The sequence below is a fragment of the Homo sapiens genome, chromosome 18 (genome assembly GCF_000001405.40).
Source record: "Homo sapiens chromosome 18, GRCh38.p14 Primary Assembly".
Classification (NCBI taxonomy): Eukaryota; Metazoa; Chordata; class Mammalia; order Primates; family Hominidae; genus Homo; species Homo sapiens.
Genome location: NC_000018.10, coordinates 68,870,380 through 68,886,065, shown reverse-complemented (window position 1 = coordinate 68,886,065; position 15,686 = coordinate 68,870,380). Strand labels below are relative to the sequence as shown.

The 15,686-nt window shown below is 36.7% G+C and overlaps 1 protein-coding gene across 8 annotated transcripts in view; it reads right to left on the bottom strand.

The window, feature by feature from the left end:
• The window catches only part of CCDC102B (coiled-coil domain containing 102B), a 342,906-nt gene that overhangs the window by 172,056 nt on the left and 155,164 nt on the right, over window positions 1-15,686 (bottom strand). For all 8 annotated transcript variants that reach the window (XM_047437804.1, XM_017025973.2, NM_001093729.2 and 5 more), the window contains one exon: window positions 11,281-11,397. In XM_047437804.1, coding sequence (XP_047293760.1) covers window positions 11,281-11,397 — 117 coding nt within the window. The remainder of the gene's footprint in view (window positions 1-11,280; window positions 11,398-15,686) is intronic.

Genomic DNA, 15,686 nt, shown 5'->3' with positions numbered 1-15,686 from the left:
AATATATATATATATTTACAAGTGACCAATGTAGTATACTATAATTGCATTTATTTTGCTATTATAATTTTATGTTTCCTGAAGTTATGAAGTGCCTCATAGTTTCTTGCTTAGTTTTCGATGCAGTTACTAATCTGGAACATTCCAATAGAAGTACACATTTCCGAGAAATACTGACAAACTCAGAACATAATATGAGTGTCACTTTTATTTTATTTTGAGACATCTTTTACCTGGCATCAACTTTCATCATAATCCTGGAAATACTCTTGTAGTCTTTTCTATTTAGTTCTACTTCCTAACTCATGTTTTTTACATCATTTTGTGAACTGCAAAGAGGTTACAGAAGTTGATAATTTTTGGAGATTTGGTATGTCTTATAATGTACTATTCTAATCTATATTATTATTGTAAATTGAGTATGTGTACAATTCTAAGATGTAAATCACTTTCTTCAGAATTTTAAACATTTACCTACATTGTTTTATAATTTCTGGAGTTGCTTGTTGAGAAGTCTGATAATGTTTCTGATTTCTGATCATCTATATGTGCTCATTTATTTATCTATCACTGCTTGCTTTCAGGCAGTTTATTGTATTCCAGTGTTACGAACTTTAATGAAATGAACTTTGCTCTGTCTTTTTGGTATTATTATGCTACTTATTGGATGGATATATTCATCTAAACCATCATGACCTTCATTTGGAAGAATTTTGTTTTTCTAATTCTCTCGCTTTTAAACTTCTTTTTTAAGGAGCTCTGAATTTGGGGGACTAATTGCTAAATTAATGTTAAGAAACTTCCTTTTTTATTACATCCTTATCTTTGTGGTTTACTTTCTGGGTGACTCATTCAACTTTCAACTCCAAATCATATATTTTAATTTTCATTTGTGTTATCATGTATCCATGTCCTAAGAGCAATATTTTCGTTTTCTCCATGTTACATTTTATGTAACATTTTGTTATTTTTGGGCTAATCAATGTTTTTGCTGTTTGGATATTAGATAGAGGGCTTTTAATCTACTTCTACTACCAGAATTATTTTTTAAAAATAAATTGCATTGTATATATTTAAGGTATGCCACATGATGTTATAATGTATATAGACAGTGGCAAGGCTACTGTAGTTTAGCAAATTAGCATATACATCACCTCACATAGTTACCTATTTTTTGTTCATTTATTTTTGTGTCAAGAACAGTTAAAATCTACTCATTTGGCATGAATCTCATATACAGTACAGTTCTGTTACCATGTATTTCTCATCTTGTACATTAGATCTCCAGACTGATTCATTATACATATATAAATATATATAAATATATTATAATGAATATAATAATATATAATGTGATGAAATGGGGAGATGTAGGTCAGAGGATACATATATATATGTGTGTATATATATACGATGGGGAGATGTATATGTATATATGATGGAGATGTGTGTGTGTATATGTGTGTGTGTGTGTGTGTGTGTATTTGTATTGTATGTATTTCTGTTGCCTTGTAGCCTCTGACCTACATCTGCCCATTTCGTCATCCCCAACAATGTCCCTGGGACCCACTTTTTTGTTCTCTATCTCTATATATTTGAATTTTATTTTTAGAGTTCACATGTAAGTGAGAATATGCAATATTTTTCTTTTTGTGTTTGGCTTATTTCAGTTAGTATAATGTCCTACTGGCCCATCCATGTTGTTGCAAATACATAATCCCATTCTTTATTAGAGCTGAATACATATTCCATTGTATATACTTATCACAGTTTCTTTAACCATTTTTTTCATAAGTGAACACTGGGTTGTTTCTATATCTTGACTATTGTGAATAATGGTGCAATGACCGTGGGAGTGCTGTATCTTAACAAGGTGGTGTTTTCATTCCTTTATGTATATTCGCAGAGGAGGAATTGCTGGGTCACATGATTGTTCCATTTTGAACTTACTTAGAAACCTTGGTATTGTTTTCCATGATGGCTGTACCAATCTATATTCCCACCAACAGTGTATGAGTGTTCCCTTTTCCCCACAGACTACCACTATTGTTTTCTTTTCTACTGATACTTTTCTAGTTTTTAAAAAACTTTCTACCGGATGTTAAAACTTCTCCATAACAGGAAATTTTTAGATGTTAATTTATATTTAAGAATGAGTTACTAAAAAGCCGATTGGATGTTTAGTGTACAAACAGGAGGGGCTTATTAACCAAGGGACTTAAGTAAAGATAGTGGAGCTTCCAGTCTCTATTTTCCTTTGAGAAGGGCACTGTACTCAGAGAGAAATGTTCCACTCTTTTGTGAAATGAATTTTCTTGGAGTTAAAACAACTAAAGCATATTAAGAGTTTCCCTGTTCTTTATGCACAATGTCATTAAATCCCCCTGTTGACAGTAATTAGTCCCTCAGTTGCACGCACAATGGTTTAGTTTAGAGTTCTTCTGTCTCAATTTTTCCAGATAAAAAACCTTCCAGTCTTTCTCTACAGTAGGAAAAGTGTAAGCATTGGCTGGCTATGTGAGAAGAAGGGAGAGATCTAGGGTTGAACAAAATCGTACATATGATTTTAACCAACCCTCCTATTTTCTGTTCTTCTTTCACCCATTATCAGAGCTACCTGTTGTTTCTTTTTATACATATACATTTTTTTTTCTCATGATAGACTCTAGCTCTGTCACCCAGGCTGGAGTGCAATGGTGTGATCTCGGCTCACTGCAACCTCTGCCTCCTGGGTTTGAGCGATTCTCTTGCCTCAGCCTCCTGAGCAGCTGGGATTACAGGCATGTGCCACCATGCCTGGCAATTTTTTTGTATTTTTTTTAGTAGACACTGGGTTTCACCATGGTCTCCAACTCCTGACCTCATGATCCATCCGCCTCAGCCTCCCAAAGTGCTGGAGTTACAGGCATGAGCCACCATGCCCAGCCTTTTATATATACTTTTAAGTTTGGGCATACATGTGCAGGTTTGTTCCACAAGTAAACATGTGTCATGGGGGTTTGTTAAACAGATTATTTCATCACTCAGGTATTAAGCCTAATACCCATTAGTTGTTTTTTCCTGATCCTCTCCCTCTTTCCACCGTCTACCCAGTGTGTGTTGTTCCCCTCTACGTGTCCATGTGTTCTTATCATTTAGCTCCCACTTTTAAGTGGAATATGCAGTATTTGGTTTTCTGTTCCTTTATTAGTTTGCTAAGGATAATGGCCTCTAGCCCCATCCATGTCCCTGCAAAGGACATGATCTCATTATTTTTTATGGTTACATTCCAAACACTCTGGGATCGAAGAGAAAGTAGGAAACAGTATCTATATTTAATTTTCCAGATGTAAAAAATTAATCCTCCTCTTTGGCTTCTCTTGAAAATGTGGCAATCCTTTTATTGTTGTTTGTAAAGATAAGTAATTCTATATACTAGGTAGTGAGAAAAAACGTTTAAATGAAATATGAGCCTGGAATAATAGTTACATTCTTGGCTTATTTAGGAGCTAAAATGAATAAATTGGTTACATGTTTACAATAACTTAATCCAATTTCTATCAAACATGGTCATATATCACTCTAGATTCTAGAAATAAATCAATGGATTGTGTAGGAACTAATCAATCCTTTTAAATGCAGAGACTGATGTGAAGGGGAAAACATGGGGATATTTTATTAATACTATCAGTTGTCACTGGCTTTGCTCATTTCTTTTTCAGGTTTTGGGCTTGGAGTGAGAAATATCAAAGACTTCCTTAGGAGAAGGAACATGTTGCTAAAGTCATTGTAAGAAAAGAGGTTGGATGTTCTGACACAGATCATCTCTCATTTTATTTCTCAAAGCTATAAGGCATTATTTTGTATTGTCTAAGTGGTAACAATAATTGTCTTGTTTATTTATTTATATTTTTATTTGTGTGGCTAAAGCGCAACATGCAAAGTCAGCTTTTGCAATGCAAATTATCATTGGCTCTTTAAGGATATTTGATTTTTAAAATCTTATTAAAATGCTAATAATAGTTAAAATATTTTTAACATATTTTTAAAAAGAAGTGTTCCTATTATTATTTAGCCACATTGTATTAAAAGATGTATTATAACTCCTTTTGCTTGATTTACATGTTTTTGCTTAGGAGTCTAGCATAGGAGAGTTATATTCTCAAAAATGTACAAATAAATTTATAACAATACAATGAACAAATACATAAAATGTTTAGGTAATTTTTGGTGGTGTAAAGCAGTATCACATAGTGGTCAAGGGCGTGAGGTTTAATGACAGAGAGAGACAGAGAGAATGGGAGAGATAAATTATAAGGAATTGGCTCATGAAATTATAGAAGCTAAGTCCCAAGATTTGTAGACAGCAAGCTGGAAACTCAAGAAGTTCTGATGTTTCAGTCCAAATCCAAAGGCTGGAGCAGATCAAGGTTCCAGCTCAAGCAGTTAGGCATCAGTAGTTCCCTCGTTCTCAGCCTTTTTGTTCTATTTAGGTCTTCAATTGTTTGGATGAAATCCACCCACATTAGAGAAGGCAATCTGCTTTACTCAATGCACCCATTCAAGTGTTAATTGCATCCTGAAACATCCTCACAGACACACCCAGAATAATATTTGGACAAATGTCTGGGCACCCTATGGCCTAGTCAAGTTGACACATAAAATTAACAATCACATTATCTTATAAAATTGATGTGTTGATTAAATGAAATCTAATGTTTTATGTCCTTACAAGGCACATGAGACCTACAAAGTATTCATAAACATTAGCTCTAAATATCTAGTGATACTCAATCTGAACAGAGTATTTTAATAGATCTTTATGCATCTTCCATTAATTTCAGTATTTAAGACAAGGATGCACATATTAAATAGTTTTGCTTCTTTGAAGGGGAAAGCTTCTTGGCCTGTTTATTTTTCTTTTCATCCCTGCTCACCTCCAAATGACATCTTCCACTCATTGGTTAATAAAATAATTGCAAAGCATAATTGTTTTGATTTATCACCAGTCTGAGTTATTTCTTCAGTAAAGCAATTATTGTCTTGGTGATTTCTAGAAAGCCTAAAATCAGAGACTCAAATATGAACAGAAGATAATTTTTCTATTTTTCAGGGCACTTGAGTCATTGCTAACTACACAGAAAGAAATGCCTCAACCTATAAAACCCAATTCCAGAAGAGCTGTTTTGAACTTGAACAGATCAATAGTCAAAATAAAAACCAATATGGTAAATCACTGTTAGAAATAATTGTTCCAATAACTACTTGTGACTACTAGGATTAAAAAGTACATCAAGCCATATTTTACTAATCATAAATTTATGGAAGCTATTTAACAACATTTTCCACTGCTTAAATATTCAAATGCAGGAGAATTTCTAATAGTATTTGAGAGAAACAATTTACTCCATTAAAGAAGTAACTCAATTCAACAAAAGGTTTAGAGGACAGTGAATTTCTCCAATTCACCCTGAAAGTAGAGTTGTTGTATGAAAATGGGGTTATCTTCATGACTTAGTTGCCCCGCTGAGAGGTGACAGCATGCTGGCAGTCCTCACAGCCCTCGCTGGCTCTCGGCGCCTCCTCTGCCTGGGCTCCCACTTTGGCGGCACTTGAGGAGCCCTTCAGCCCACCGCTGCACTGTGGGAGCCCCTTTCTGGGCTGGCCAAGGCTGGAGCCGGCTCCCTCAGCTTGCAGGGAGGTGTGGAGGGAGAGGCACGAGCAGGAACCGGGGCTGCGCGCGGTGCTTGCGGGCCAGCTGGAGTTCCGGGTGGGCATGGGCTTGGTGGGCCCCGCACTCGGAGCAGCTGGCCAGCCCTGCCGGCCCCGGGCAATGAGGGGCTTAGCACCTGGGCCAGTGGCTGTGGAGGGTGTACTGGGTCCCCCAGCAGTGCCAGCCCACCGGCGCTGCGCTCGATTTCTCACCGGGCCTTAGCTGCCTTGGGCGGGGCAGGGCTCGGGACCTGCAGCCCGCCATGCCTGAGCCTTCCACCCCCTCCATGGGCTCCCGTGGGGCCCAAGCCTCCCCGATGAGCACCGCCCCCTGCTCCACAGCGCCCAATCCCATCGACCACCCAAGGGCTGAGGAGTGCATGCGCACTGCACAGGACTGGCAGGCAGCTCCACCTGCAGCCCTGGTGCGGGATCCACTGGGTGAAGCCAGCTGGGCTCCTGAGTCTGGTGGGGACGTGGAGAACCTTTATGTCTAGCCCCGGGATTGTAAATACACCAATCGGCACTCTGTATCTAGCTCAAGGTTTGTAAATGCACCAATCAGCACCCTGTGTCTAGCTCAGGGTTTGTGAATGCACCAATCGACACTCTGTATTTAGCTATTCTGGTGGGGCCTTGGAGAACCTTTATGCCTAGCTCAGGGATTGTAAATACACCAATCGGCACTCTGTATCTAGCTCAAGGTTTGTAAATACACCAATCAGCGCCCTGTGTCTATCTCAGGGTTTGTGAATGCACCAATCAACACTCTGTATCTAGCTACTCTGGTGGGGCCTTGCAGAACCTTTGTGTTGACACTCTGTATCTAGCTAATCTGGTGGGGACGTGGAGAACCTTTCTGTCTAGCTCAGGGATTGTAAATCCACCAATCAGCACCCTGTCAAAACAGACCACTGGACTCTACCAATCAGCAGAATGTGGGTGGGGCCAGATAAAAGAATAAAAGCAGGCTGCCTGAGCCAGCAGTGGCAACCCGCTCGAGTCCCCTTCCACACTGTGGAAGCTTTGTTCTTTCGTTCTTTGCAATAAATCTTGCTACTGCTCACTCTTTGGGTCTACACTGCTTTTATGAGCTGTAACACTCACCACGAAGATCTGCAGCTTCACTCCTGAAGCCAGCGAGACCAAGAGCCCACCGGGAGGAATGAACAACTCCAGACATGCTGCCTTAAGAGCTGTAACACTCGCCGCGAAGATCTGCAGCTTCACTCCTGAAACCAGCGAGACCACGAGCCCACTGGGAGGAATGAACAACTCCAGACATGCTGCCTTAAGAGCTGTAACACTCACCGCGAAGGTCTGCAGCTTCACTCCTGAGCCAGCGAGACCACGAACCCACCAGAAGGAAGAAACTCCGAACACATCCGAACATCAGAAGGAACAAACTCCAGACGCGACCTTTGGAGTTAACAAACTCCAAACTCCACCTTAAGAACTGTAACACTCACCACGAGGGTCCGTGGCTTCATTCTTGAAGTCAGTGAGACCAAGAACCCACCAATTCCGGACACACCGCCACTAGTTTTTTTGATAGTTCTGTCCTTTAAATAATTACACTTGCCCATCTGTGCTTGTGACTGTCTTAGTCCATTTAGGCCACAAAATATCATAACCTGGGTAGCTTATAAACAAGAGAAATTTATTTCTCACAGTTCTGGAGCCTGGAATCCAAGCTTAAGTTGCCAGTAGATTTTGTACCTGGTGCGGACCTGCTTTCTGGTTCATACACAGCACTTTCTCCCTGTGTATCCACATGGTAGAGGCGTGAGCTAACTCTCTGGGGTCTCTTTTTTAAGGGCACTAATTCTAATTGCCCTCATAACTTAATCAACTCCTAAAGGAGTTGATTTCACCTTGGAAGTTAGGATGTCAGTATATAAATTTGGGGAACACACACACATTCAGACCATACTAGTGACCAACGTGCTTTGAGTGAATCAAATGTAGTCAAATCTAGCCCAGGCGTGGTGGCTCACGCCTGTAATCCCAGCACTTTGGGAGGCCGAGGTGAGTGGATCATTTAGCTTAGGAGTTCAGGACCAGCCTGGCCAACATGGTGAGACCCCGGTCTCTACAAAAACATGCAAAAGTTAGCCAGGCATAGTGGTGCGCACCTGTAGTCCCAGCTACTTGGGAGGCTGAGGTGAGAGAATTGCCTGAGCCCAGGAGGCAGAGGTTGCAGTGAGCCGAGATTGTGCCACTGCAATCCAGCTTAGGTGACAGAGTGAGACCCTATCTCCAAACAAACAAACAGAAAGGAGTCAAATATAGAACAAATCATATTCCAAATGAATATAGACAGCTTTGCCCTTCCTCCATTCTTATTTTGCTTTTACTTTCGACCTCATAGAAAGTTAAAATAGAAGGCTCTCTTTTTTGATATGTGCTTTGTCCTTATCCTTCCCTCATTCATTCAATTAATGGCCATTTGTTGAGTGATTACGAGCCACGCACTATTGCAGAATGAAGTTAAGAACTCCACCACCTAAACTGTCAGGCCCTTTCCTTTCCTTTTTATGCCATACTCATATTAACCAGGGATTTTAGCAGAAGAGAAATGTAATTGTTTGTTTGATTTAAGGCATATGTTTCCAGAAGGTGTCAGTTCATAGGAAAACATGTTTTCTAAGGAAAACGTTTGATGATAATGATGGAAAAGTTCTAAGTCAATGACCTCCCATGTAAAACAGAAAATTTCTCTCCACTGGAAATTAGAATCCGTGTTAAACACAACTGTAAGAGTGTTAGCAAAGCAGTTTTGGATTGGAAGCATTGAGAGTAACAATTGATATGTTGACATGAAAGAAATTAGCATGTTAGTGTAGACTTGCTAAGCTGACTTGTGACCTCATGGGACGCAGTAAACAGGGTCTTAGAAGAATTGTACACAACTTACAGGAAAAGTTCAAATGTATGTGTTTGTGTCCTAAGGAAGATAAGAGCTGGATGGCATCATATTAAAGATCGCAAGTAGCTTGAAGGTGTTAAACACTAGATGTGTTGAGGTTGGCACTAAAATATGCAGACTTTCTAAAGAAGGGAGGTGGGCTATTCCTAAGACAAGCTAATATTTACAGTTTTAATTGATACAGTCCCTTCTTTTCCCACTCACATCACAATCGTCATTGAGCTCTTCTTTATCTAATAGAAGACAGTAAGAAACTTAAAGGAGGCAATAAACCTCAGACTATAATTCAATCATCAACCTAAGTTAGCTAGAAATCTTTTCAGAAGACCTAGCTACCAAGAAAAGCTACTACTGATGTGCTATCAAAGATTATTTTCAGTATTTTATTTCAAACTATATAGTTTAAATTTTTTGAAAGAAATATCTGTTACTCAAGGCACCTAATATTTCCTGGATAAATGATTACAGGCTTTCATTGGTTATTCAACTTTCTATTTATCAGATTTCTATAAATGCAGAATAAGTAACAGTTTTATTCTTGAAAAAATGGAGTATTTAAACTTGTATTTATCTAAATGACCAGAAAGTATATTTCTCTGTGACAGCTTGATTCTGTTTTCCCAGACTGTTATTTTTCTCCAGTGGTTTAGTCATATAAATCTCATTTTATATATTCTGTTTCCTGAGTTTTGTCAATATAAACCCAGAATGTTTAAATCTATATCACTAACAGTCTTCTGAATTAACCTGCTTTCATTCCTCAATATCCTGCTCCAAAATCATGTAACCATTTCTAATATATTCATCATATTCTCAGTAATTGAAAATCTCTTTGCTAGAACATGTAAAGTCAATAAGAGGAATTGAGATACAGGAGATTTAAATCAATTCAGATCAACACCTACTGTGACAATCTCTAAAAATTAAATTATGATGACCCCGGAGTTCTAATTATACAATATCCTTCATGTCAAAGATAATGCTATTTAACTATGTCAGTAAATAAAATATCTTGTATTTCATCTAAAATTTCTGGCTAGGGCAATCCCCCTAGCATCATTCACATTTGCTGTACAGCTCCCAAACTGTTGACAACTTACACTGAAAGGTATGATCTCTGGTGAATACTGTACCCCTCACTGAAGGCTGTTCTCTGAAGGCAAGTCCATTTCTACATCCCACACCATTGAGTTACCAGAACACAGCACAGCAGATACAATATTCGCAGAACTAAAGATTAAATATTAAATAAATATCTATATGTGCTTTCTTCCTTTTTTGCTGTTAACTATTAAATAAACTTTTATACAACATGTTGTACAATGTTTAATGAAAGATGCTTCTCAGAGCTGAGGGTCAAGAAAAAGAGATATCTATCCTGATAGTCTGATTCCTCTTAGAAAACAAAAGTTATGAAAGCCACCAATTTTTCCCTTTGACTTAGGAAGATTTGTATTCAACAGTTCAGCCTTTCTCATAATGGACCTCTTGAAACATGCCATCTCACCCCAACACCCCTTTTAGGACTTATAGAAGAGCTGTCAACGGATGGCATTGATGTGATGAGGAGGAACACAGGGAGGATATAATTCTCCTAAGCAGCTTAGCTGTTAAGTTCCAATACTAGAGCACTCTGTCTCAGAAAACTGTTCCCTTGCAGTATATACATTTTCCAAAATCCTGTTTCATGATTATTATTAATATTATTATTACTATTATTTTAATCTGGAGACTGACACTCAGAGATGCTTATGGAGTTGACCAGAATAAAGTAATCAGGAGCTGATTTCTAGCTCCAAAATCTGTATATTTCCCATTGCACTATATTCATCTGATGTAAATATACTCTGATGTCAGTTCAGAATTTGAAGAGTTATATAAGGAAGAAAACCTAATACAAATCAGTTTTCTACCAGCCTACAGTTGCATTAAATTCATTTCAGTCTGTAAATTGCTCTTACACATTTGTTTCCAAGATATTTTCCCAGAATTATCTGTTCCAAGACAAGTAATTTGTGATTTTCCATTTTTAATGTCATCATGCTATTTTCTATGAAGTACAAATAATTCAATCCCTTCTCCTTTCTACAAGGACAATAATTCTGTTCTTACCTACAGAACAGTAAAAAACACTCAGTGTTTACACATTTGCGAAAATTCATTTATTGTTGGTGGTGGCAGGAGTGGAAAAATAAGTGTTTTCACTACTTGGTGTACCTAAGAAATGAATTAACTATAACAAAAGTGAATTTATTTTATCTCTCACTGTTGTTAGCTTCCAATAGCAATGTTAATTCCACCAGAAATTGCATGACACATATCTTGTATGTCATTGGTTCTGAAAATAAATGAACACACATGATCCAGCAGCTGGTTGAACTTTTAAAAAATATTTATGCACAGTAAGACTTGTATTGGCTATAAGATAGTTTCATAGTCAAATATTTCATCTTTGTAATATTCAAATAGTTCAGATCTAGTTATGGGCCAATGTCATTCCACAGCCTTTTAAATCACATATAAGCTGATTACATTAGCAGCAGCATTCACTTTCATAAAGTAACCAAAGGCACGACCGTTACCCTACTTAAAATAGTATGGCATTTAACAACAGTCAGTTATGTTTTAATATATATGGTACTCTTTACCCAGTGTCTTACCTCTGCTCTTAACTCACAAATCACTCTGTCTTTGCTGTTTTGAGATTTGGATTCTTCCTTTATATTGCCTGACAGTTCTTGCATTTCATCATTATGTTGACCAAGAAGAATGTCAAACTGAAAAAGAAAGTTGAAATTACAATCACAGGATGCTATATAGGGTGGTTACAGGATAATCCACATTAGTCCTTCATTTAGCTTTAGTGTTGTTTTGCCTTTTTCCTATGTGGATTCTGGCAGGCTTGTTGCTGATGATGTAATGATTGTGGTTGAACTGTTTATTGTTATACTTGTAGTTCAAAAATGCTAACCTGTAAAAAAAAATCAGCAAATCTCCATAAATCCCAATTTATCAGTTGAAAAATAGGCATAACTCAGTTACCTCCACAAACTCCGAAACAATTGACCAACTGGTTTCTAAACTAACCAATTAACCCTTATCTTTTCATCCTGAATATTAGTACCTCAGTATTCTCTGTAATCCTTTTTATGTCTATTTTCTATAAAGCATTAATAGTATATTAATTGTAACAGAGACAAACTTGGGCAATGGAAATAAAGTATATATATATACACACACACACACACACACACACACACACACACACACACACATACACACACACTGCTTGGGCTGATAAAATATATGAAGAACATCTATAAAAGCTGCCAATAAATTTCCAGAGAAAATGACTGCAGAAAAAAACAGAAAGGTGAGAAAAGTCCTACAAATGCAAATAATGATTATTTTCCCACAGCTGTTCTTGAAATTAAAAATTTTCAGCAGAACCGTGAAATTTGATAAATACATAAAATGTGTAGTTGCACACATATATGCTGTTTTTGTTGTATTGACATATATTTTAAGCTATGTTTTGTTGCATTGACATATATTTTAAGCTATGTTTTGTTGTATTGACATATATTTTAAGCTATGTTTTGTTGTATTGACATATATTTTAAGCTATGTAGGTAAATGTTTCCATCATCCATAATATGTATGCAACTTATAACAAATTAAAATACAAAAACTAATGTTATACTATCTGTTTAAAAATACAAAAGTAGTACTCATAATGTTGTTATTAGTAATAGTAATATTAAGCATGTACTAGTCCCCAGGAACTGAACTTGATATATATTGCCTTAGTTAATGCTAACAGTAATCCTATATGTTAGGTATTCTTATCATTATCCCTCCTCTACAGAAAAGGGAACCATGTTGTTAAGAGACTTAAGTAACTTTTCTAAATTCACAAAGATAATAACTGGAGGAAGCAAATTTTAAGAAAGTTCTTGCCAAATGCATTACCTGAGTGTTAAACCATTATTGCATCTATAATTATAAACCTAAAGGCCATTGAAATAATTGTCTAAAAGGCAATAAACTGATAGCAAGAGGTAGTAAAGGAAAGAGCAGAAAATGTCATAGTCCAAGTATACTAGAAATCAGCTACAATAATGGTAGAAGCCTGATTTCCCAAAACACTACAGAAAGACTCCATGTTCAGAGCTGGTAACATAAAGAGAGCACACAGAAGGCAAGGACGAGGACAAGAGATAATACCACAGAGTTATTTGAAAGTCTGAATATGCAAGTCCAGCTCACTATCATGGAAGTTAAATAGACAATGTGGCATTAGTCCCTGGCCAAAAGAGTATAAAACAGAGGCTAGCAGAAGAAAAATGAAAGCAACCAGTTTTGGTTTAGGTCCACCAAAAGAATATCGAATTCATTTCGGTAACTGAATGCCCCCGTTTAACCTCTGAAACCTTGTCATTAAACTACAGGGAATTAAATCCAATAATAAACCCTTCCATTGTCAACAGAACTCTCAATGAACTGTACCACTCAAAAGAGAGAGGAGGCAGGAAAGCAAGTTTTTATAAACAGCAGCAAAGGAAACCCACACCAAATACCTCAAATAAATCCATATCATTCATCATTGTGAGTGGAAAAATCAAAGATCTCTGGGCATGTGAAGAACATAAGAGTGGCAGAAAAGCAAAACAAAACAAGAAAAACAGGAATAGTCAAGGCTGAGATTAAGAAACAGAATGTCTATAGGGGAAATAAAAAACAAGAAAAGGGAGGCCACATGGAGAAGGAGAAAGGACAGAGGCTCTTAAAATAACTGAAGTAAGAGATCATGGTGGTTTTTGATCAGAATAATGGTGGAAATGGAGAGAAAAAACTGGATCCAATGTAAGATATAAAAGAGAATATTAGTTAAAAAACAACTACTGTAATCACTATCTTCAAGAAAAAAATAAGAATATATTAGACTCATAAATTAAGGACACAGCAAATTCAAAAATTTAAATAATAAAATATAATCCTCTAGGTAATTTTTTAAATACATAAAGAAAAAAATTTATCTGGGAAGTAGAGTTTAATACTGGAGTGTACTGAAGTTTGGTCCCGGTGCCTGTTGTGTTTCTGATCTACTCCATTGGACAGTTCCCGTGCACCTACCTCATTTGTACTAATTGCAATGCTGGCAATTTTTAAGTGTCTGTCTCCAGCCTCTAGTTCTCCACTGAACTTTGAATGCACATGTCCAACTTCCTACTCAACACCTCTAAAGGGTATCCCAGACTTGACACACTGGAAAGCCAAATTCAGAACTTCTCCCTCAAAACTGTTTCTCTGTCAGTCTTTGTCACCTCAGTAAATGGCAATACCATCCTTCCCAAAATTATTGAATATGTTCTTTATTCTCTCACATGCCACATCCAAACTAAAGCTAACTCAATCAGCTTGCCCTTCACAATACATAGTAAATCCAGTTACTTCTCTCCATTTCCACCATTATTCTGATCAAAAACCACCATGATCTATTACTTCGGTTATTTTAATAGCCTCCATTCTTTCTGCTTCTACATGCAGCCTCATACTTCCTTTCTCAAGAGAGCAACCAAATAAAGCTTTTTAAAAAGCAATTCAGATCATGAAACTCTCCTGCTCAATTTTCTTCAGTAGCTTCTCAATCAACTTATTATATAAATCAAAGTCCTTATTATCCACATGATCCGATAACTCCTCAGCCCTCATCTCCTACTCCTGGTCCTTATGCTACTCCAGACCTTCTGGCTTCCTCACTGTTACTTGTATACTCTAGGCATGGAGGAGTAAAAAAATAAATAAAAAATAATAAGTAATAAATAAAATATTATACAACTAAAGCCATTAAAACAATATAGCAGGGAAAACTGATGAACAGATTAATTAAACAACTATACTTTCTCCTTTAAAAACAGAATTACTTTGAACATTTTAAAATTATGCTTTGGACTCAAAATAACCTTAATTTTGTCACTTGCCTCTTCAACTTTAGATTTAGATTAATGGATTTGTAAAGAAAATCTATTTAGCAGCTGAAAAATTTAAAGCAGTGGACTTACAGATGCTAACAATGATTAATTTAGTGGAATTATGAATGTCATCCACAGCTGATATATCACATTCGTTAAGTTGAAAGGGACAGAAATAGAAAATACTCTATAAGGTGAATTACTCAGCATTACAAAGCATTTTCCAAGTTCCTGTCCTTTTATTTAATATTTATTTAGTATATTCTCTGGTAAGCCTTCTTTTTTTCCTGTGTTTGTACCATAATATAACTCCAAAATCACTGTTTAAAAATCCTCTGTTTGTACTGCGTGTTTATGAAAATTTAAACCAGGCAATTTGCCATATCCTTGATCTCAGAAATACCTGCTATAATTCACTTCTGGAAAATTATCAGTACTATATATAAATATGTATTCTATATTCAGATAAGCATGGAATGGAAAAAACTGAAGACGATGTCTAAGAAACAAAAGTGTTGTGTAATGTAAAGTATTTTCTTATTCATATATGGTAGAAAAAGAAAAATAATTACAAAAAGGCAAAAAAGTAACACACCCTATCGTCATTTTGCCTCACATTTTAACCTTCAAAATGATCCAAAAGGATTAAATAGTTAATGCAGACTCCAAAGTTCTACTCTTTGTGAAATCATGCACCAAATATTGAAGTCAATGTTATTAACCATGTAGAATTATTCAATCTCCCCGAACACCAAATCTACCATTTCTCCCATAACTTTCAACAAATGATCTTTCAACTTCTTTCATAGAGAAATAGGAGCTAAGGACGTCCTGTGATGAAATACACAAATTTGCATGTCTCCACAGAGACATCTCTTCTAAAATATCTCTTCTAAAGTCAAAGTCTAATCATTTCAGTTGTACTTGGAATTTCATACCTTTAGGGTATTTGGCAAACTCATTCTAAGAGTTGTTTCTCTCGTGTATCTTGAAATTTTCTTGGTTTCTTCCCCATTAACATTTAATTGCTCGATACTTTCCATTTAGGTTGGGGATGAGGGAGCGTGGGAGATCAAGGGTCGAAGGATAAT